General features: G+C 45.1%; 1 long non-coding RNA gene across 1 annotated transcript in view; it reads left to right on the top strand.

The window, feature by feature from the left end:
* LOC105379315 (uncharacterized) overlaps window positions 1–22677 on the top strand; it is a 283462-nt gene that overhangs the window by 243913 nt on the left and 16872 nt on the right. Inside the window, exon 3 of the long non-coding RNA XR_949569.4 lies at window positions 7222–7410. This is a non-coding gene — a long non-coding RNA (uncharacterized LOC105379315). The remainder of the gene's footprint in view (window positions 1–7221; window positions 7411–22677) is intronic.

Genomic DNA, 22677 nt, shown 5'->3' on the forward strand with positions numbered 1-22677 from the left:
CCTTCCCTACCTGTAAAATAAAGAACATGAACTAGAGTTTTTCAGAAGGACTTTTTGCTCTGACAGCTTATTACTTGATGATTTCTCCTTTCCTTTCCTTAAACTTCCAGAATGGGAACTGAAAAGCATATGAACCAAGTGCTGCTGATCCTGGAAGCTCAAAATCCTTTCTTAAAAGGGCTTTTGCTGGGGAGGGTTTTCTAGGAAATAAAGTGTCCTTCCTCTTACTCCATGATAGGGTGACGGGTTTTCTTGGGAGGACAGTGCAGGCCCTGGAGGCAATTCACTTGTGGAACCATTGCTGTCAGCATGGCAGACAGCTGTCTTCATCTTTTTTTTTTTTTTTTTTTTTTGAGACAGGGTTTTGCTCCATCACCCAGGCTGGAGTGCAGTGGTGTGATCTCAGCTCACTGCAACGTTTGCCTCCCAGGCTCAAGTGATTCTCTTGCCTCAGCCTCTCCAGTAGCTGGGATTACAGGCACCCACCTCGATGTCCGGCTAATTTTTTTTTTTTTTTTTTTTTTTTTGTAATTTTAGTAGAGATGGGGTTTTACCATGTTGGCCAGGCTGGTCTTGAACTCCTGACCTCAGGTGGTCTGCCCGCCTCAGAGTCACAAAGTGCTGGGATTACAGGCATGAGCCACCATGCCCTATCCTATCTTCAATTTTGAGTTATAGGGTCATCCCACTGTTTTCTTCCAGCAGGCTTGGTGGGCCTCTGTCGGTTGGTACTGCTTGTTAGAATTGTTCCGCAAGAACACAGCCAACGCTTGGTGCCATATGGCCTTGATATAGAACACCAGCTGCGTTCATCAGTTCATTTTGCTTCATGTTAGCTAGGAGCTAGAATAAGGATAGAGCAAGGGTCTGATCAGGAGATTGTTGTTCTCTACTCATGGAAGGAAGAGAAAGAACATCTTTTCTCTGTTATCCAGCAGGTGCCAGATGAACAGGAACCAAGACACTGAATGGAGAAGCATAGCTTGATTGCAGGCAGCACCTTGAAAATTCCCCTCTGCCTGTATGCCAGTGGTGTTGGCAATATGTATGTCTTTCATTGTCTATACACCATTTTTAGACTAGACATAGAAAAAGCAAAGCTGTTAAAGGAAAGGGAGGGGGCAAATAAACTATGCCCATTGACTAACATAGATAAAGGAATTATATGTCTAGAAGCTTCCTTTAAGGCAAAGCAAAAAGGGAAAGATGATGGGTTTTTGATACCTTTTATTTGGTAGGAGGAAAAAAATAGCATTTTCTGGAGAGGCAAGTCACTTATCTCCCATGACAGAGCCAAAGACTGATAGGAATGTATCTCGTAGCACCTTTGGAGAAACAATAAATGGCCAGTGGGCAATGTCTTCCAATGAGATTGTGGATTATAGGAGCAGGAGGGTAAAATTTGGGGAACAGGGTGTTTGTACCAGGCAACAACATGGAGGCTGCTGATAGGGGAGGTGCTGGGGGTAGGTGCTGTGTCCCCAGCCCTTCCTTCCTTCCCTCTCTATGCCTTCTCTGCTGTCCCAGCTTTCTGGTCCCCAATGCTAAGTAGAGGGAGAGGGCTGTGTGTGGAACAAAGCCAGGTAGATAGTGCAGAGACTGAACCGAAACAGCTGGGAGATTTGAGAGAAGCTTGGAGAGAAGTTAACTGGATTTCTATTTCTTGATTGTACTGTTAAAATGTTCCTTTAATGTGAAAGCCTTTCTGTTAAATGAAGGGGAAAGGGAACTCTACGACAAGTAGCAGCCGTAAAACAAAGGGAACAAAAGGAGGAAACTGCTGAAATGGGTTTTGTTGCTATAGATATATGGAGACACATGGCTGGGCTGATGAATGGATTGAGGCAGCATTTGCAGCAAAGAGCCTGAAACAAGAAAACGGAGACAGTGAGTGGGAAGAGAAAGGGGCTTGTCTCAAGAGCATCCACCAGGAGCTAAGCCAAGTGGCTGAAAATAAAATAGCCAGCTCAGATGCCCCTTAGCTGGGAAGTGAGGGAGTGAGAAAACTAAGAACAGGTCAAAATTGAAAAGAAATTTTGGCCCATCCCCTTTAATTTGCAGTTGCAAGTTCCTCTGGGTCAACCCCAATGACAGCAGGCAGCAGGGACAATCTGGAAGACAGGGCAGTCTTAAGCCAGTGGATGAGAAATACAACAAACTTTCAGTGAATGGATCTGAGAACCCCTTTCCAGGTTCAGTCTAGCCCCCCAAACACACACATACACTCACACATAAAACTTACACACAAAACTCACATCCCTTAGAAAAGGAACAAATAAGTTACAATAGCAAGAGATGCTCAGAAGTAAATCTGTCTTGCTGCAGGTAGAGAGGAGTGTAAATTTCATGCAGGACCAATAAAATGAAGCCACTCTCCTCCAGGAACAGTACCAGTTATTGCATCACAGGTGACCTATAGCCACAGAAGGTGTATAAATTGCAGTGTTTATAGAGTCTTTCCTCATTTGTGTCGGTGGTAATTACATTTTGGGGGTATGAATTCGTAAATTCCAGGGGCTTCGCCATAAAGTCCACCAACCACCAGATTGACAGCAGAAAGATTCAATCAGTAGCCCAGGGCCAGGGCTGGGGGACCCCACTCCCTACTTTCGGCCTGCGACAAGGTTCTGTGTTCATTCACCCCCTAACTTCATTGGCACACCTTAGTGCTGGGCTGCCTGGAAAACTGGGACAGACAAAGGGTGATGCTCATGTTTTTAGAGAATGGGATTTTGAATGGAAGTGAACCCTCATGTTTCAACGCTTCTTCTCCTCTGTCCTCTGAATAAAATTTACATGCATGGTGCACAAGCCTTGGACCAGTCTTAGTCCTGTTTCAAGGTAAAATCCAGTCATCCTCTGCTGACCTCTTACAGCTTCCTGGACACTACCTGTGTCTTTGCCAGTGCACCTTCTCCTGGAATGTCCCCTTTGCCTAGCTGTCCACTCATCTGGGCCGATTTGCTCAGTACTTTGCCAGATAGATCCAGTCTCCCCTTGGCTGGTCCCATTCCCTCCCCTCAGTCTTATTTTCTGGCATGGAAAGCAGTGGAGTATCTTCCCCTCTAAACTGGAAGGTGCTTCAGTGCCATGCAATGTGGTTCCTCTCAGCAGCCCTGTATCTGGTGGCTCCCACAATGCCTAGAATACGGAAAGTGATCGCTAAGTGACTGAAAGAAGAGAGCAATGTCAGGAGCCCAGGAAAGTCTAGAGCTCCACCTGCCTTCTGGGTCACACGGCCCCTCCTGCAGTATCCCCATCACTATGGGCAGGAAAGAGAAGTGGTCCCAGCCCCACGTCCCAGCTATCCCCATCCAATATTCACAGCTCACCTCCACCCTCTGCCTTGGTTCCATTAGGACAAAAGCCAAGTCTCCTTTATCCCTTTCTTCTTCTTTATATCAGCTTTTGGAGGAGGTCAGGATGCCAGGATGACCACTTCCTGTCGCAGGGATAATACTCTTCAAACAGCTCTCTGGGCCAAAAGACATTCTCCCTGCACCCCCTGGCCCCTGTCATGCTACTCTGCTCTTCTTTGCTTTGCAGTACTTGTCACTACCAGAGATGCTATGCAGCTTACATCTTTATTTTATCATTATCCTCTTGCTGAAAGGTTAGCTCCTTGAAGGCAGATAATTTTGGCCTATTGTTTACTGCCGTATCCTGGGATATGGGAGGGGCCTAGTCAGGCATGGTGAAAGAGTGAGTGGATGCTGGTGGTTCTCAGATTGGAAGGTCACTAGTTCTTTCTGGGTTAGACCTGTAGCCCCATCTCCATGCAGCCAAACTGCTCTTATTTATTTTTTGAGACAGAGTGTCCTTCTGTCACCCAGGCTTACTGCAACCTCTGCCTCCCAGGTTTAAGCGATGCTCATGCCTCAGCCTCCTGAGTAACTGGGATTACAGGCATGCACCACCACACCTGGCTAATTTTTGTATTTTTAGTAGAGACAGGGTTTCATCATGTTGGCAAGGCTGGTCTCGAACTCCTGGCTTTATGTGATCTGCCCCCTCACCTTGGCCTCCCAAAGTGCTGGGATTACAGGTGTGAGCCACTGCGCCTAGTAAGCTCTTATTTATTGTGTATGGGGAGCATCCAACAATTCTCCTTTTGGTTTCTACCGACTGGTCCATGCATCCCCGGCCCCCCAGCCCACTAGGTTCTGATTCTTCAGCCTGCCCTATGACAGCACAGGTTCTCATTGCTCAGCCTGCAGGGCGTGACCCTGGACCCTCCTCATACTAGGTGACGCAGCTGGGGGATAGGTGATTGGTCCCCCGCCTCACCCCAGTGCTCCGGCTTCTCCTGGCTGACTTATTTGAACAGCTTCCTTGGGAAAAAGAACACCAAGCAGAAGGGCAGAAGCCAGCATAGGTCGGAGCTAGGTATTTCCATGCACCTTATCTCACTGACTCTTCACTGTGCTCTTCAGAGGTCAAAAATGTCAACCATATTTTTAAAACCAGGCAAGTGAGGCCAATCAGATATCTTGCTCAAGGTCACACAGCTGGTAAGAAGCATAGCTTCAAATCTGGATCACTGCTGATGCCACAGGCCAGTCTCTTTAACAGAGTCATGATGGCATGAGGCATCCTGAGGAATGGGAGAGACTACTCAGAGCATTTATTTTGATGTCTGTTTTGAGTGTGACTTACGATGTGACAATTTTTGACATTCAATTCCTTTGGAGATAACAGTCTGGCTGAAATGGCATAGATATGACTCCCAAGAATCTTGGAACAGAACAGGGCCTCCTGAGTGATCATGTATTGCCCAACCCACCCATTAGATAGCTGGGGAGACTGAGGCCCAAGAGGAAAATGGTTGCATACAGATTCTCACAAATAACGACTAGTGCCTGGAACCCCGGGCTTCAATTTTCTAGGCTGTGTGTTGACCACCTAAGGCGGCTTTTTTGTGGTCTTAGCACAGCAAAGGGAGATGAGTCTCCAGCCTTTCCCTGTGGACCATTTTTAAGTCAGGAACTGTGCTCTTGACCAATGCATGGGGTGTGGAATTCTCTGAATCTAGATAGGTGGTGCCCAGAATGTCTGAGATGGGCTAATCCACTGGAGACCTAGGGCCAGAGGTTGGCAGTGGATGACACTTGCTGGAAGTGGAGGGAGGATGACCTGAAGACCACCCTGGGCCCCACCCAGGATCCAGACTGATTCTAGCTTTTTCTCTTCCCTAAGTGATGTCTCACCTTCCAAAGAGGGGCAATGATGTAGTGGAATGTGCCTGGCAAAAATCATGCCATCCCAACCTCTTTAACTCCACCAGCCGGCGCACAAATCAGGTGGCCTCTGGGGAGCCAGCCTCGGGATTGGACATTTATGACCCTCCTTTGGAAATCTGGCTCTGGGATGGCATCTGTTTCATAAGCAGACCTGCCCATGTATAGCCCAGACAGCTGTGAGGTTGATTTATGCCTTTAATACCACGAGCTTCATTTAGCCGGTCTGGAAAACACATTTCGGCGTGTGAAGCTAGAGTCTTTCTCTCCTCGTCCATCCTCACTGGACATTAATTTCGACAGTGGGTTTTGTCGTTGTTGTTTTTGCTGTTCCTTTTTGGACAGGTCTATTTTTCCGTCTTGGATAACATCCATGCTGATCACAGCTCACCACAGGCTTCTGGAGAGCCAAGGGGGCTGGGAGCTAGAACTGGGTAGGGGGAAAATGATCAGGCATCGTCTCTGAGATTTTTGAATTTTCCATAAAGAGAATTGTGGGAAGTAGTCATTACCCTCCTCTGCCCCAGATCAAAACTACAGCACCCTAAAATTTTTAACCATTTTCATTTATCCAAATAAACACACTGTTTACACATTTTCATTGAAGCTATCATAAATGTTGAAAATGGCTTTACTCAATATTGCCTCATTAGTGGAAAGGTACTGCTCTTGGTAGTGAAGTTCTTGGTCGTGAATTTTCTCTTTTGGTGGAAGGGCAGAGCAATCAGATTTTGTAGGTTTTTTTAATCATTTGCCACAGCAACAGACAGCAGAATGGCACACGTGATAGCTTGAGAGCATCATTATCTCCCCGTATCCCCTGGGACCCCGTTCACTTTCTTTTCATGGATTCTCTGTAAGTTATACATCAAACCACATTCTTCAGGTGCTTTCAGATTTCCCACTTTCAAGTTGTTATGTCTTGGTTTTGCTGTTTCTTCTATTCTTTTTTTTCCCTTTTTCATTGATTCTTAGTTCTTTTCATAAGACATTGCATCCCTCCTCTCTCCACACACAAACACATGCACTCAACTGCCCCAAAGCAGCCTTTTCTATCCATCTGTGCTGGTTTTTTCAATGATGAAATCCTTTATCCTGACGGGGCTGTGTTCTTCGGTGTCCATGAAACTTGGGATGAGGATGCTTGATTAGGCCAACGCTCTGAGGGAGGAAAGTTCACTTATTGTCTCATCCTAAACAAGAGGACGTTATATCTCAGCAAGGCCGGGACTTGTTCAAGGAGACACAGAGTAAGGCAGGCCACCAGCCAAAGCCCAGAGACTTCCTCACTCCAGGCTCTGGCCTGGTCACCAGCATGGTTAGGTGGATGTCAGCATCTCCAGGTGGAGCCCCCAGGGACTTTACAGGAATAAGATGGGTCTGAAGTTGATGAGAGGAGGAGGGGGCAGTGATGGGACAGGGACAGGGTAGACTTATGACTCTGAGATAGTCCAGGTAGATGTCCACATTTGGGTAACTGGTACCTCGTGTTTTCCTAGAGGCTTGAAGCCCACTCTAGGTACTGTGAGAAACACATTTACCCGTCCAAACCCAAAGAATGTACTTGGAGACATGAAGAATAGCCAAAGTGAGACTTTTGATGGTGGTCTTGCAAGATTGGGTGTCTGGAAGGCAGGCACACCCAGGGCAGTTACAGCGGGTAATTTATCTCCTAGCAGGCAAGTCACTCCCCCACTTCCTCATTAGTCCAGTACTGCAGGGTAACAATCTTCCTGGATGTTGCCTAAGTTTCATTATCCCCCCTTATGAGGTTATACCCTGGTCCCCTTCCCCACTGAAGTTTCAATTTCCCAATAATGAAACTTTCTTCCCTTCTGTGGGCTGACCACTCCTCTATATTCTGTTTACTTAGCGTGACTTTCTAGCTGCATGAGCTGTGTGGCTTGTCACATCTGCAGGCTGGCTGCAGGTACTTAGATTTATCATGCCTTGAAAATGGACCATTTAAAATGTTTTCTCACAGTACCAGTATGACGAAACGTGCCTCCCATCCCCACATCTGAGCACAGCCCTTGCACGGATTGAGGGTGAGTCCAGATATGAAGGCTTGCTGGTAAAGAAATTTCCAGGACGAGATGTCTGCAGCAAGCAGTCCACCCTCCATTAAGAACCTCTGAGGACATCAAGAAAATACAGAAATGGAGAAACTCTGGTAATTACCATTCTCTCCCTGCCTCCTCCCCCATGCCCCTCCGGCCTACCAACCAGAAAGAAACTGGGCTGAGAAGGGCAAATTCTCTTACTCGTATTTCATGTGATGTGGAATTTTTCTTTCTTTTTTTCCTTTCTCTCTTTCAACTCTCTTATAAAGACAGAACAGTTCTCTTGTCTAGCAGGCACCCTCTCTGCCACCACCCTGGTGCCCAATCACGGTGACAAATGACACTTTTGGGAGCCCCTGCTCAAGAGTTTCTGCTCTTAATGAGAAAAGGAAGGGTGGAGTGGTCCGGGCCTGGAGTTGCGAAGGGTTGTCCTGCAGTCCAGATCCACCAAGCCTTTCTCACCCACCACCCCAGCCTCTGCCAGCTCCATTCCTTCTGAATACCCCGGACAGCCCACCCTGTTTATTCCTGGGGTAAAAGGAGGTTTGAAATCATCTGTGACCAGGGCAGTGGGTATGGGGGGAAACTGGGTGGCTCAGAGGAGTCGACCTCAGAGTTAAGAGAGAGGAAGGAGTAAGGAAACTAGAGGACCCAAAAAGAGAACACGTGGGAAGAGACACACGGGCGGATGAATATGAAGAGAGGCAGGAACAGGAGAGGAGACAGAGATGGTGGAGAGAAAAGAGCAGTGCGAGAATTTCTGCGCACGTTGCGTGGAATGGGAGGAGCAGGGAAGCTGACATTGCAGCTCAGTCATCAAAAGGATTTGAGGGCCACAGTCTCTTTTAAATCTTATTCTCAAGGGAGGAAGAAACATACCCTTATTCCCCCTCAATTCCCAGCAGATCGCATTCCATTTCCTCTCCTTCGTCTTCCCCGAAAACAGTGAAATTGCTATTTTGCTGTTAGTCAAATGAAGTCTATCTAATTAAAAATAGCTTTGTAAGTACGTGTCAAGAGGGGGAAAGTATGGGCCTGCCCGTGTGGGCCTGGGTACAGCCTCCAAACCCACCATGCCTCATTTGGGTAGGAAGGTCGTTTTTTGTTTCCCCAAGGAAAAATGTCCTTTTTTTTTCTCCCCACTGTTTGCTTTGGCATGAAAGAGAGAGAATTATCTGGATGGAGACTCGGCAGGGAGTTGCCTTCTATCTGCTTTGCATGCTGTGCTATGTGAATTGATACTGTACTGATCATTTGGAGGAGGGGAGGGGAGTGTGTGGGGAGAGAGCATTCAGCATTGAGAGCATCTGCAAAAATCACTTTGCTAAGAAATGATCTTTTTCCTCTGCACAATGGCAAGATGTCACCCTCGGAATCTTCTGACAGTGGTGGTGGTGGCTGACAGTGAGCATAATTTCCCATGTCTCTGTTGGGGTAGTTATTTGTACAATTCTGCACCGAAGTCAAAGCCTTTTATTTATTTTTTATTTTTTTTTAAACTTTGCCGGTTGCTGCGGTGGCTTTTGCAACAAAATAATTACTTTTGTGCCAAGCACTTAGGTAACAAGATAAACAAGAGGCAACATAAATGGAATGTAAATATGGAACAAGTGTCTGTGAAGGGAAAGGCAGCCTAGGGCAAGAAAGAGCTTAGGGCTGGGTGCCGTGGCTCACGCCAGTAATGCCAGAGCTTTGGGAGGCCAAGCTGGGAGGATAGATTGAGCCCAAGAGTTTGAGGCCAGACTGGGCAACATAGTGAGACACATGTCTCTACAAAAAAAACAACAAAAAAAATTAGTTAGCTGGGTGTGGAGGCACCTGCCTGTGGTCTCAACGATGTGGGAGGCTGAGGCAGGAGGATAGCTTAGAGCCAGGGAGGTTGAGGCTATGGTGAGCTGTGATTGCACCACTGCGCTTCATTGTCGGTGATAGAATGAGATCCTGTCCTCCTCAACCCCACCAAAAAAGAAATAGCTTGCCTTGGTTTTCTGCATCTTGTAAATCCCCAGGAACCTGCAGAAGCTTCCTTTCTGTGCCCCTCAGTGGGTCCGTGACTTCCCAGGGAAGGGCCAAAGGCTAGTGCCCAAATCTCAGGGTGATAGGAGCTTCTCTTTTGTAATACAGTAAGGGTTATTGGTGGGGAGGGTTCGGGAAACAGGATTTGCTTTGTCTTATGGACAAGCTTTATGCAAGGCATAGTTTGTAAACCCAGAAAGCTGGATCTGGGTTCTGGCTCCGACCCCAATATCTGAGTGACTTTGGGTCAGTCACTTCTTTTCTCCGGACTTCCGCATACTCATTTCTAACATGAAGAGCAGAACTGGGTAAATTCATGGATTACCCACCTATATGTGACTTCTACCCAACATTTCCATGACTGAGTAGACTTTGGAATCCACAACTCAGGAGCTAGGAAATGTGGAATCTAAATTCTGAGTCTGAATCTTTACCTGGTCAGGCAGTTGTTATTTGCTAATACCATCTGTAGTGGTTGACTGGTGACACCTTTATCTAGGTTCCCAAAGATGTGTCCTTTGAGAACCTCATGTGATTGTGTCTCGTTAAAAGGGTCATTAAGTTAAAGGTCTCGAGATGAGATTATCCTGGATTAGGGTGACACCTAACTGCAATGACAAGTCTTTATAGGAGCAGTAAAGAAGAAACAGACACAGACACACAGGTTAGAGGCCATGTGAAGACACAGGATGAGATGGGAGTGATTCGGCCAGAAGCCAAGGAATCCCCGGAGCCACAGAACCAGGAAAAGGCAAGGAAGGGCTCTGCCCTAGAGCTCTTCCTAGGGCAGAGGGAGGGAGTATGGTCCTGTTAACACTTTGATTTCACATTTCTGGCCTCCAGGACTCAGAGACAATACACTTCTGCAGTTTTAAGCCACCCAGTTTGTAGTAATTGGTTACAGCAACCCTAGCAAGCTAATACACCATCAATAAGCCTAGAATGAGCACCCATCCTCTCTGTTGGGTTTCCATCTGTCTCTTAGATATCAGAAGATGATAACTTGTCTGAGTGGGTCTGACGGGGAAAGAAAAAAAAGGAGAATGTATTAGTCTTTTTTCACACTGCTATGAAGAAATACCGAACACTGGGTAATTTATAAAGGAAAGAGTTTTAATTGACTCACAGTTTCACATGGCTGGGGAGGCCTCAGGAAACTTACAATCAATGTGGAAGGTACCTCTTCACAGGGTAGCAGGAGAGAGAATGAGTGCCCAGCAAAGGGGGAAGCCCTTATAAAACCTTTAGATCTCGAGAGAACTAACTCACTCTCATGAGAACAGAATGGGAGAAAATGCCCCATCATCCAACCATCTCCACCTGGTCCCTCCCACAACACTTGGAGATTATGGGAACTACAATTCAGGATGAGATTTGGGTGGGGACACAGCCAAACCATATCATTCCACCTCTTGCCCCTCCCAAATCTCATGTACTCACAATTCAAAACACAATCATGCCCTTCCAACAGTCCCCCAGTCTTACTCATTCCATCATTAACGCAAAAGTCCAAGTCCAAAGTTTCATCTCAGACAAGCCAAGTCCCTTCTGTCTATGTGCCTGTAAAATTAAAAGCAAGTTTGTTATTTCCAAGATACGATGGGGGTACAGACGTTGGGTAAATGTTTCCATTGCAAATTGGAGAAATTGGCCAAAACAAAGGTGCTACAGGCCCCATACGAGCCCAAAATCCAAAAGGGCAGATATTAAACCTTAAAGTTCCAAAATGATCTCCTTTGACTTTATGTCTCACATCCAGGTCATGCTGATGCAAGAGGTGGGCTCATGGGCCTTGGACAGCTCTGCACCTGTGGCTTTTCAGGGTACAGCCTCCCTCCTGGGTGCTTCCACAGGCTGATGTTGAGTGTCTGCAGGTTTTGCAGGTGCACAGTGCAAGCTCTCAGTGAATCTACCTTTCTGGGGTCTGGAGGATGGTGACCCTCTTCTCACAGCTCCACTAGGCAGTGCCCCAGTGGGAACTCTGTGTACAGGCTCTGACCCCACATTTCCCTTCTACATTGCCCTAGCAGAGGTTCTCCATGAGTGCTCCACCCCTGCAGCAAACTTCTGCCTGGACATCCAGGCATTTCCACACATCCTCTAAAATCTAGGCAGAGGTTACCAAACCTCAATTCTTGACTTCTGTGTACTGGCAGGTCCAACACCATGTATAAGCCAGCAAGGCTTGGGGCTTGCACCCTCTGAAGCAACAGCCTGAGGTGTACCTTGGCCCCTTTTAGCCACAGCTGGAGTGGCTGGAACACAAGACACCAAGTCCCAAGGATGCACATGGCATGGGGGCTCTGGACCCAGCCCAGGAAACCATTTATTCCTCCTAGGCCTGTGATGGGAGGGGCTGCTATGAAAGTCTCTGACATGCCCTGGAGACATTTTCCCCATTGTCTTAGTGATTACACTTGGTTCTTCATTACTTATACAAGTTTCTGCAGCCAATTTGAATTTCTCCCCAGAAAATGGGGTTTTCTTTTCTATCACATCGTCAGGCTGCAAATTTCCCAAACTTTTATGCTTTGCTTCCTCTTGAATGCCTTGCCACTTAGAAATTTCTTCTGTCAGATACTCTAAGTCATATCTCTCAAGTTCAAAGTTCCAGAGATCTCTGGAGCCAGTGCAAAATGGTGCCAGTCTCTTTGCCTACGAAGAGTCACCTTTACTCCAGTTCCCAACAAGTTCCCCATCTCCATCTGAGACTACCCCAGCATGGATTTCACTGTTCATGTCACTGTGAGCATTTTGGTTGAAGCCATTCAACAAGTCTCTAGAAGTTCCAAAGTTTCTCACATCTTTCTGTCTTTTTCTGAGCCCTCCAAACTGTTTCAACCTCTGCCTGTTACCAAGTTCCAAAGTCACTTCCACATTTTCAGGTATCTTTATAGCAGCACCCCACTCTCTGTGATAGCAGTTTACTGTATTAGTCTGTTCTCATGCTGCTATGAAGAAATACCCAAGACTGAGTAGTAAAGGAGAGAGGTTTAATTGACTCATAGTTCCACATGGCTGGGGAGGCCCCAGGAAACTTACAATCATGGTAGAAAGCACCTCTTCACAGGATGGCAGGAGAGAGTATGAGTGCCTAGTGAAGGAGAAAGCCCCTTATAAAACCATCAGATCTTATGAGAACTGTCACGAGAACAGGATGTGGAAAACTGCTCCCATGACTCGATGATCTCTACCTGTCCCACCCACCCATGACACGTGGGGATTATGGGAACTACAATTCAAGATGAGATTTGGGTGGGGACAGAGCCAAACCACATCAGAGAAGATATGATTTAGAAGGTGAAGAGGTCTCACACAGTGCTGTGCCTGCCTTGGCAGACATTGCTCAGAAGCATAGCACAAGGAGGGTTCTAGCTATAGGAAAGGTGTTCTTGGTCACTTTGAGAGGTGAGACCTTGTGACAAGTTCACTGAATCAGCAGTGAGAAGGCTTGGCTTCTAACCCTCTCTGTTCTAGCCCTCTCACTTCTTGACCTTGAATAAGTCTCTACCTTTTCGGACTTCAGATTATGTACGATGAATATAAGAGTATTGATCAGTGGCTTTTTAACATATCATAGCAAATATTTTGCAATGCCCCATAATTATTCCAAACTGAAATTCAAAAACAAAACAACCTGTCTATACTTACAACTTGCAAAGTATAATGTACTATGAGTGATATAAAGGAAGAATAAGGAAAAAGTGATTATTATAATGTAAGGTTTTCAATATATACGTGATCAGCATATTTATACTAGAAAGCAATAAGGTAGAACTTAAAGGTTGTCACTATATCTCAGGTCATAGTGAAAGAGAAAAAAATGTGGATGGTTCTAGATGGGTTGTATTGATTCAAATAGCACAGACCACACTGCTATCAATGACATGATTTTCCCAAACGGTAAACAACTCCTGGTAAACTTCTGAACAACACAGTCTTTCCTTGATTTACAAGGAAGTCATTTCTGGAAAATACAGTCTATATTAAAACCATATTTTAAAACATATTATGGTTTTATGTCATGCAATGAAGTTAAGTTCTGGGCCTGGGTAATTATAAGCAGGGTTTTCACCTACGGAACATACAGATATCATGTGGGGTGCAGAACAATTCCACCTCGGGAAGACTTCCCCAAATGTTGCAGGGTTTCTAGCCTTCCATCTTACCTTAAATGCTGGTAATCACCGCCCCCTCTACCAATCATTGTGATAAATGATAATGCCTCCTCAGATTCCCAAACTTACCCCTGGTAAGGCATCAACCCCTTGAGAGCCACATTCCTCTAGGGCCCCTTCCAGCCCTAGGCTGAACCCCACATGAACTCATCTTCTCTTGTCAAGACCTATCCTGTCAGTCAAAAAAATATTTATGGTGCTCCCACTCCTTGCTCTTTGCTATGCTGAGGCTAGAGAAGAGGTGAATTATGTATTTTCTCAAGCAAGGTTTGGGATGATCTGACAGCTTGAACCGAGTTCCTCTTTCTCCCTGCCGACCTCCCCTCCTTCTTTCCCTCCTTCCATTCTTCCTTCTTTTCAGTTTTTTAAAAAACTTGATTTTAAAAAGATTGCATTATTTTTACTGATGCATAATAATTGTATGTTGTTATGAGGTACATATGATATTTTGAATTATGCATGCAATGTGTAAGGATCACATCAGGGTAATTAGGAGGCTCATCACCTCAAACATTTGCTATTTCTTTGTGTTAGAACATTTCAAATCCTCTCTTCTAGTTATTTTGAAATACACAATAAATTATTATTAACTATCGTCACCCTACTGTGTTGTCGAACACTAGGACTTATTTCTTCTATTAACTATATGTTTGTACCTCCCCTTCCTCCATCCTTTTTCTTCTTTTGTCTTTTGTTTCTCTTGCCAAGTGTTTCCTAAACATTAGGCTGGTTAAATAAGAATGACCAGGGATTGGGTTCACATTTAGATTGGTGGCTACTGCTCCCAGAGGCTCAGATTTGGAAGGTCTATGGTATTCACACAAATGCTGTTCTCAGACACGACACGACAGAAGTGGGCACCTGTTGTCAGCTCATTTTTAGAGGAGGACTCTCTGTTTTGGAGTCTATATCTGGAGATAATTTCAGCCAGACGTTGCACCTAGAAGATGTCCAAATTATTCACTTGGAAAAATACCAAAGTCAAATAATGCAGCCTTGGTGCAAGAGCAGTTACAGAAAACTGCTCTCCAGGGAATGAACATCTGGGGCTGGATTTGGAATCAGTTGAGGCTACACGTGTGCTTAACCGGGCAGAACACAACAGTGTCCTGATCTCACGCACAGGGCTGTTTGCTTGTGTCAGCTACCAGGTCCCCCACAATAGTGATGTGTCATTTAGTAAGCAACAAAGATCAGTTATAGAAGTAAATTATAAATGCTAGTGATTAAAAAGTAACAGATAAGATGCATCCATCACAAATGTGTCTACATGTGGGAGAGATGGTGACATGGACCCACTTTTAACCAGACAGAAAGATGGAAGAAGGCAGCTTGCGGGGAATGAAGCTTGCCCACAGCGTGCGATTTTGCCAGTGGTAACTGGCTTTTAAGGTACTGCTGAAGAGATGAGCACAGAAAGGTAGCTGGAGCAGTTGGGAGCAATTGAGACTGGCTCACTTGGGTTGGAATCCCAGACTCACTCTTTCCTACAGCCGGGAATGTAAGCAAATGGCTCCACCTTTTTCATAAAATGAGAATAATAATATGAACACTCTGAGGCTGCCAGGTGAGCAGTTGGGATGATGCACTTTGGAGACTTCTGACAGCTCTACAAAGTTGCACATACTCAGTAAATATTAGTTCTGTCCACCTACCAACTGCACTTCACCAACAAAAGGCCAAGTAATAGGAGAGGAAATTACCAAACCAGAAGAGATCAAAATTGCCTGGAAAAATGAGAATAAGGGAGGGTTTCTGAGATCCATTTTGTGCCTGGCCTGGAATTGGACAGTGTGGTCCTAAAGTCAAGTCAGGCAGAGCCTGGCATTAAGTGGGGGAAACAGAGCTTCTCTAGTCTAAGCTTCTGTCTTGGAAGGAAAGCTTGGGAAGAATTGAGCGATGTCTTACAAAGGTGCTTTGCAGACCCAGAGCACCTGAGGTCATCGTTTTTAATTTGCCAGCCTGAAACCCAGTGTGCTCAAAGGCAGAGACTCCCTCAGGAATCCTCTCTCTGCAGAAGAAGATGGATCAAGAAGGCCTTACGCTTATCCTAGCCACAGCCTTCCAAGAACAAAGGGATCAGTATCAGCAGCCTACATTGATCAAACCACAAGCACTTATGGAGTTTCTTCTAGGTGCTTTATCTTCCTAGATATAAAGCTGATCATGTCACTTCCTTGCTTAGAGGTGTCCATTGACTTCCCGTCACCTACAGGACACAGCCTGAGTCTCATAGTCGGTAGGAAAAGCCCTTCCATCTGACCACTTGCCACTGCCTGCCTCCAAATCCCTGGTCCCCAGATGGCCACAGAGGTGCCACATGCCCACACACCCTACAGTACTGTCAAAACTCCTCGCACCCAGGAGACACCCTGCTTTCTCAAGCCTCTGTATCTTTAGGTATATTTTTCCTCTGCTTCCATTACTGTCCTTTATTTGTCACGAGGCAGGTCTATATCAAACATTGCCACCTGTGTCATGCCTACTCTAGCAACATCCAGGAGAGATGGGCCACCGTCTCAACCAGGGATGATTAATTATAGATCCCTCATTCTTTCTTATCTCTTCCCCTACGACTCTCACCATATGCATGTTAGACTTCCTCATTCTACCTTCATGTCACGAAGTCTTTTCTATTTTTTATCTCTCTGTCTGTCTGTGCTATATTCTGGTATTCTTTAGATCTAGCTCCAGGTTTATGATTAAGTGGAATCTGCTATTTATTTTGTTTCTAATTAGGATGGTTTTAATTTTCAGAATTTTTTGGTTCTTCTAGTAAAAATGAGAGGTTGATTTTATTTTAATAATATCTTGCTTAATAAGTCACACCTACAAACCCCACTTTTATTTGTTTAAACATGTTGTTACTGGTTTCCCAGGGCTGCCATAGCAAAATACAACAGACTGGATTTAAATATTAGGCGTTTATTTTCTCAGAGTTCTGGAAGCTGGAAGTTCAAGATCAAGGTGGAGGCAGGGTTGGTTTCTCCTGAGTTCTCTCTCCTCAGCTTGCAGATAGTCTTCTGCTGTCTGTGTCCTTACACAGTCTTTCCTTCATGCACATGCATCCCCTGGGTCTGTGTAACTCTACATTTCCTCTTCTTATAGAGACACCAGTCAGATTGGATTACAGTCCACCATAACAGCCTCATTTTAAATTGGTCATCTCTTTAAAGATGACTCCAAATACAGTCATATTTTGGCCAGGTGTGGTAGCTCACGCCTGTAATCCCAGCACTTTGGGAAGCCGAGGTGGGTGGATTACCTGAGGTCAACAGTTTGAGACCAGCCTGCCCAACATGGCGAAACCCCATCTCTACTAAAAATACAAAAATTAGCTGGGCATAGTGGCGGGCATCTGTAATCCCAGCTATTCAGAAGGCTGAGGCAGGAGAATCACTTGAACCTGGGAGGTGGAAGTTGTAGTGAGCCAAGATGTACCATTGCATTCCAGCCTAGGCGACAAGAGCAAAACTCTGTCTCAAAAAGCAACAACAAAAACAAATACAGTCATATTATATTATGACTCCAAATGCAGTCATATTCTGAAGGACTACTGGGTCTGGCTTCAAGATATGAATTTTGGGGGACAGGTTCAGTTCATAACACAATTTAAATTGTATATTTCTGTTTCTTATAACTATGTTCTTCACTTGTGTGACTCTGCATTTGAATGTTTCTGCTGATTCTTGTTGCCTTGCAAAATGAGTGTTTTTCTGTTGGGAAAGTATGTTCTTTACAACTTACGTATAGCGATTCTTTGTGGCCTGTGTCTAACATACATCCCTCTAGAGAGAATTTTCCTTTGCTTCTGGGAGGCATCTGGGGTGTTTCTAATTTGTGGCCACTTAATTAAACTTTGAGTTTGGATTTTGTGGGGTTTCTTTGGTGGGGGTGGAGGGGGTTATAGTGCACAGAGTTTGCATGAATTTCAGCCCTTAACTTGTAGGAGGGCAAGTTGGTAGTTAAAAATTCTCTGAGGAAATTTTATTTTTTGTTCTAGCCAAGTACAAGGCCAGGAAAGCCCCTAATCCCAACCATTGTTTCTGCTTAGCAAATTTATATTTTTGAAGTTTACCCTCTGTGGCCAATTGATTGAATTCAGGGCCCCAGTTCTTCATCCTTACTGAATTAGTTTTCCTGGAACTGCGGCAACAAATTGTCCTAAAGCTGGTGGGTGAAAACAACAGAAATGTATTTTCTTACAGTTCTGGAGGCTGGGAGTCTGAATCGAGGCACTGGGAGAGCTGTGCTCCCTCCAAAGGCTCAGGGGAGAACGCTTCCTTGCCTCTTCTAGTGGATGCCTCTTCTAGTGGCTCTCGGCATCCTTAGGCTTGTGACTTCATCACTTTTATCTCTGCCTCATTTTTTTCCCTATGTATCTCTCTGAATCCTCTTCTCAGTCATTGGCTTTAGCCTCTCCCTCCCCCAAATCTGGGATAATTTCACCTTGCAATCCCTCACTAATTATATTTGCAAAGATCCTGCTTCCACATAAGTTTGCGGTCTGAGGTTGCAGGTGGACATGAATTTTGAGGGGTGCTCATCAACCCCTCACACCTTTCCATATACACACCCTGTGCCCTGAAACTTTGTAGTGACCTCCCCGTCTGATGTTCATTCCAGCCATGTGACTTTCTTTAAGCAATAGAATGTCTCTCGCTGTGGTACAAACAGAGACTTGAAGAAGAGCAAGTGCATCACTACTTGCTGTTCTTGCCCTCTGCCACTGCCCTGAGAGAGACCTGCCCCAGTTTCAGGCAGAGGCGGAAAGAAACATGGAGCTGAACAGAGTCATCCCATCATTCCATCCATCAGTGTTCGAGTGGATAGCCAGATGACCTGCACAGGTGCGGGTTAGCCCAGCCATGATCAGCAGAACTACCTGGCTGCCTGGCTAGATGTGTGAGTAAGGAGCAGCTAGTCTTGCATGTCACTGAGGAGCTGTGGTTGTTTCCCACACAGTAGTGCTGTGGCAATAGATACCTGATACCCCTGCTGATTAGGTGTCTTTTTGAGGGTCCTGGCTTTATGAGGGGTCACCTATTGAATCTCCCACCATGCCCAGGCCCTAGGCTTCGTCTCCTGTCCCCTGGTGCTCCAGTGCCTATTAAAATAGATACTCTGAGGATGGGCACCGTGGCTCACACCTGTAATCCCGGTACTTTGGGAGGTCCAGGCAGGCAGATCACCTGAGGTCGGGAATTCGAGACCAGCCTGGCCAACATGGTGTGAAACCCTGTCTCTACTAAAAATACAAAAATCAGTCAGGTGTTGTGGCGCATGCCTGTAATCCCAGCTATTTGGGAGGCTGAGGTGGGAGAATCGCTTGAACCCAGGAGGTGGAGGTTGCAGTGAGCTGAGATCATGCCACTGCACTCCAGCCCGGGCAACAGAGTGAGAGTCTTGTCTCAAAAAAAAAATGATAAATAAAAATAAAAAATAAAATAGATGCTCTGGGACAGCAGGGATCTGCAGGAGGAAAGGCCAACTCCAGGGCACACATACCTTCACGCTTTCTTTTCAACTTCCGGCCTCCAAGGAATTCCCTTCGTTTCCTGACAATCAACTATTTAAGAAATATTTTAAATCCAGAATTCACAGAAATGCACTGGTGCGAAGAGGCTACTGAGCCCCTGGAACTCTCTTTCCTGGCTAGTTATCTTACTGTTTTTACCACCTCATTGAGCTGTGGTCATCCAAATAGGAGAGACTCTGAAAAGTACCTTGCTCCAAGTGTCTTTTTCTACTGGTTCCTGAGGACAGGCCATTGGTCCTCACCTAGACAGGCAATGTTCTCTTGCCAGAACACTCTTTGGGATCTTACTGCAAGAGTAGCTGCAATGACCCCGAGTGACTTGCACCAGAATTTTACCTGCTTTGGTGGACACACATGAAAGGTCTCCTCCTGGCACTTCCTTCACCAGTTCCATAGCCACAAACTGTTCTGGAGCCTAGGGCCAGCATTCCATAGCCCAAGGGGCACTTGTGATTTTCCAGAGTCAAGGACTCACACATCACTGAAACTGCCTCAATTCTTATCAGCGATGTCCAGAACCATGATCGTTTCCTGCCACCAACTCAGACAGGGTATTTTTCTATTTCAGCTCAGATGGCAAGTATTTTCTTCCTTGTAAAGGTTTAGCATCTTCACAGTATAGGCACTGATGTTTTATCATGAATAAATCTTTTGTAAGTACCACTGGCTGGGTTCTTCTGTTCAATCCTGAAGCCACAGGAGGTGATAAGCCCTCCTTTCCAGTTCAGGACTGCGTCCTGCTCTTTCCGACTCTTATTTGTGACTGCACTCTTTGTCTACCCCTGTTGCTCATGGGCTGTTGGGAAGTAAACACAGTGATGAAACTGGAAGCAGATTTATCTAGGAAATCCGTAAGCCCCTAACAAACATTTACCACTGGGATTCACATATTGGCTGAGTCTTTGCAGCGTTTCCCCAAGGGGTTGAAGTGGAATCTTCCTGGGGCTGCTATGTAGACTCAGTTGTGTTTTGGAGAATAGCGAGGAAGAGTCACCTTCTACCTGGAAGTCAGGAGGCCTACAGGGCTGGACACTCTCTCTTTCTCCAATGTGACCTAATAAGCACTGATGGAAGGATAAAGTGCCTGGGCATGTGTCTGAGAGTAGAACTGAAATTCACTGTGAAGAAAAAGAAAAGAGGAATCAAATGAATATTTAATTCAAGAGAGGATGCCTTAACAGAGGCCTTAACTGTAGTCAATGAAGGATCCCCTTACTGACTTGTTAGGGGTTCTCAGGGTAACAACAGAAGATTGCAAAGAGGAAAAAAGCAGCCAGCTTTGGAAGACAAGGCCTTTCAGATGCAGTCCCTTCGTCCAGTGTGCAGAGCGCTGTCCTCATCCCTGTCCTCCTGAACCAGCATGTGTGGCCTGTTTCCCATCACAGAGTGAGTGAGTCATGTGTGAGCCGAGGAAGGCGGATTCTTTCTAATATGCCATAGGCTTCACATCACCCTCATTTGAAAAGCAGTTGCATCCAATAAGCTGATGTCTATAACCAGAATCCCAAATGATTGAGTTACAGTAGTAAGAACAGTCACTTTTCAGGGGACACCAAATTACAATGAGGCTGAAATTGTATCCGTTTACAGTCAGAAATATAGTTGTTCCAGAAACTACACCTGTTAGTAAAACTGCATGTGGAGTCAAATCAAAATAAAAATGTCTTGAGAGCTTAGAACCAGAGGAGAGAAGTTCATCAATAGGATGGCCCATTCGGTGGCTCAGGCGACCACAATCTGATCACTGTCACATGTTAAGCTTAATCAGGCCAGTGCCCTGGGGAATACGGAGAATCTATTGACCTCAGCTCCTGGCACCCATTTCCACGTTAGGATGTCCTTGCCATTGGGAGGGGATACTCTTTTGGCCGAGAATCCTCTGTCCCATTCACGGGACTGGCAGTGCCACTGCTGGATTTAAGGGATCTGCTTCCTCTGTGACTGATTTTCTTCAGATCCATATAATCCTTCTTTTGATTTGTTCAGGCCTCCACTAGAGTTATAACAGTCATTAGCCTATCATCATTAGGGAATTCTCTTAAGCCTAACACTGTCTCTCTATAACTCCTTCCCACCAGTCGCCCACGTCCTGCTCTGCGTGGATACATGGAAAAAATCTACACCATTTTCCACAAGGCATCTTATCAAGAATTCAAGTCTTGCTATCAACAGGGTTGCCACATACAATTGTGTAAGTTGTGCACTGAACAAGGGAATATGGCTGTGCAGAGTAGTGTGAGTGGGAAACCTGGTATGGGGCTTCCCCTACTTGTGGAGAGCGGCTTTTCTCTTTTTTTGCGCAAAGGCTATACATTAACTAGCAAAGGGCATGGCTATTATGGTACTCCAATCTCAATATTTTTGGATCTGATAACTATTTTTCAACACCTATGATGTGCTGAAATTTTTCTGTGATGTTATCCTCTTAAGAAACTTCAATTTTACCAATGTAGTACCTAAATGTGCGTGACATCCAGAATTGGCTACAATCTACCAGAAATCAATGATATGCTCACATTCCCTTGATCCATAAATTACTACCCATTAGTAAAAGTTCCAGTAACTTTTTTGAGCAGCCTTATCACACTGTTGGCCCACGCTGAGCTTGCAGTCCACGAAAACCTCAGGTTGTTTTTTTCTTGAAAAGTGGTGTTCGCTTCAAGTCTTCTGAATCTGATGCCAAATATGAACCATGCATTAATTGCTGTTAAAACCAAGTAGGTTTATTTTAGTCATTAATGCTGCTGATTGAGGACTTACAAGTAGCTTGAGGTTATCCATCAGTGTGTACTGTTCTCTGCTGCCTTGGCATCATTCACCAGGTAGATATCCTGTTTTCTACAGTTTTAAAAACAGCAAGAAAGCACGGAAGGAGAAGGAAAAGCAATATTTTACTGAATCTACTCTCTTCCAGACACTGTACTTTTACATACATCATTCTTCTAAATCCTTATGGTAACCCATGCAGATATGCATTAGTACCATTAAGCTCAGAGACACCAACTTGCTCAAAATTGTACAGCTAATAAGTTGCAAAGCCAAGATTCAGACCCAATCCCATTTATCTTAAATAACAACTTGTTTCATCTTTCAACTTGAAGCCCCTGAAGTCATTCTGTATAATGCCTCACCAACAGGATGAGAGCTCTCTGGCATAATCTAGTGTTCTTGGTCAGGGAATGTTTAATGTCACTAGGATCAGGAAGCCCCAAATTGGATTTCCATAACAGGAGATGCTCACCAGCTCAAGAAAAAGATGGGCCCCCAAACTTTAGAACACACAACTTAAGGTTTGCCAATGTCAGTATATCCCCCTGATGCCTATTTTGAGTTCAACTTTATCCTTTTCTCTATAATTGTTATAGCTGAACTCATGCCAGTATTTATCTATGCTCTCTCTTTGAGGAACTCAGCCAGAGAAAGCTGTAGACAAAATGTTTTCTTTTTTTATTTTTTGCCTTATCCCGTTCCCTTGTGAGCAATTCAGAATAAAATAGAATATGAGGGAACTTCAAAAAGTTTGTGGAAAAGTGGAATTAAAAGATAAAACTGAAAATATAAACTATTTTTCAACACAATCTCTATCAAGTTCAAGACGCTTTTTTTTGTAAGCGATGCTATCAGCTATTTAGCCCATTCCTAGA

This window comes from Homo sapiens, chromosome 8, assembly GCF_000001405.40.
Source record: "Homo sapiens chromosome 8, GRCh38.p14 Primary Assembly".
Taxonomy (NCBI): Eukaryota; Metazoa; Chordata; class Mammalia; order Primates; family Hominidae; genus Homo; species Homo sapiens.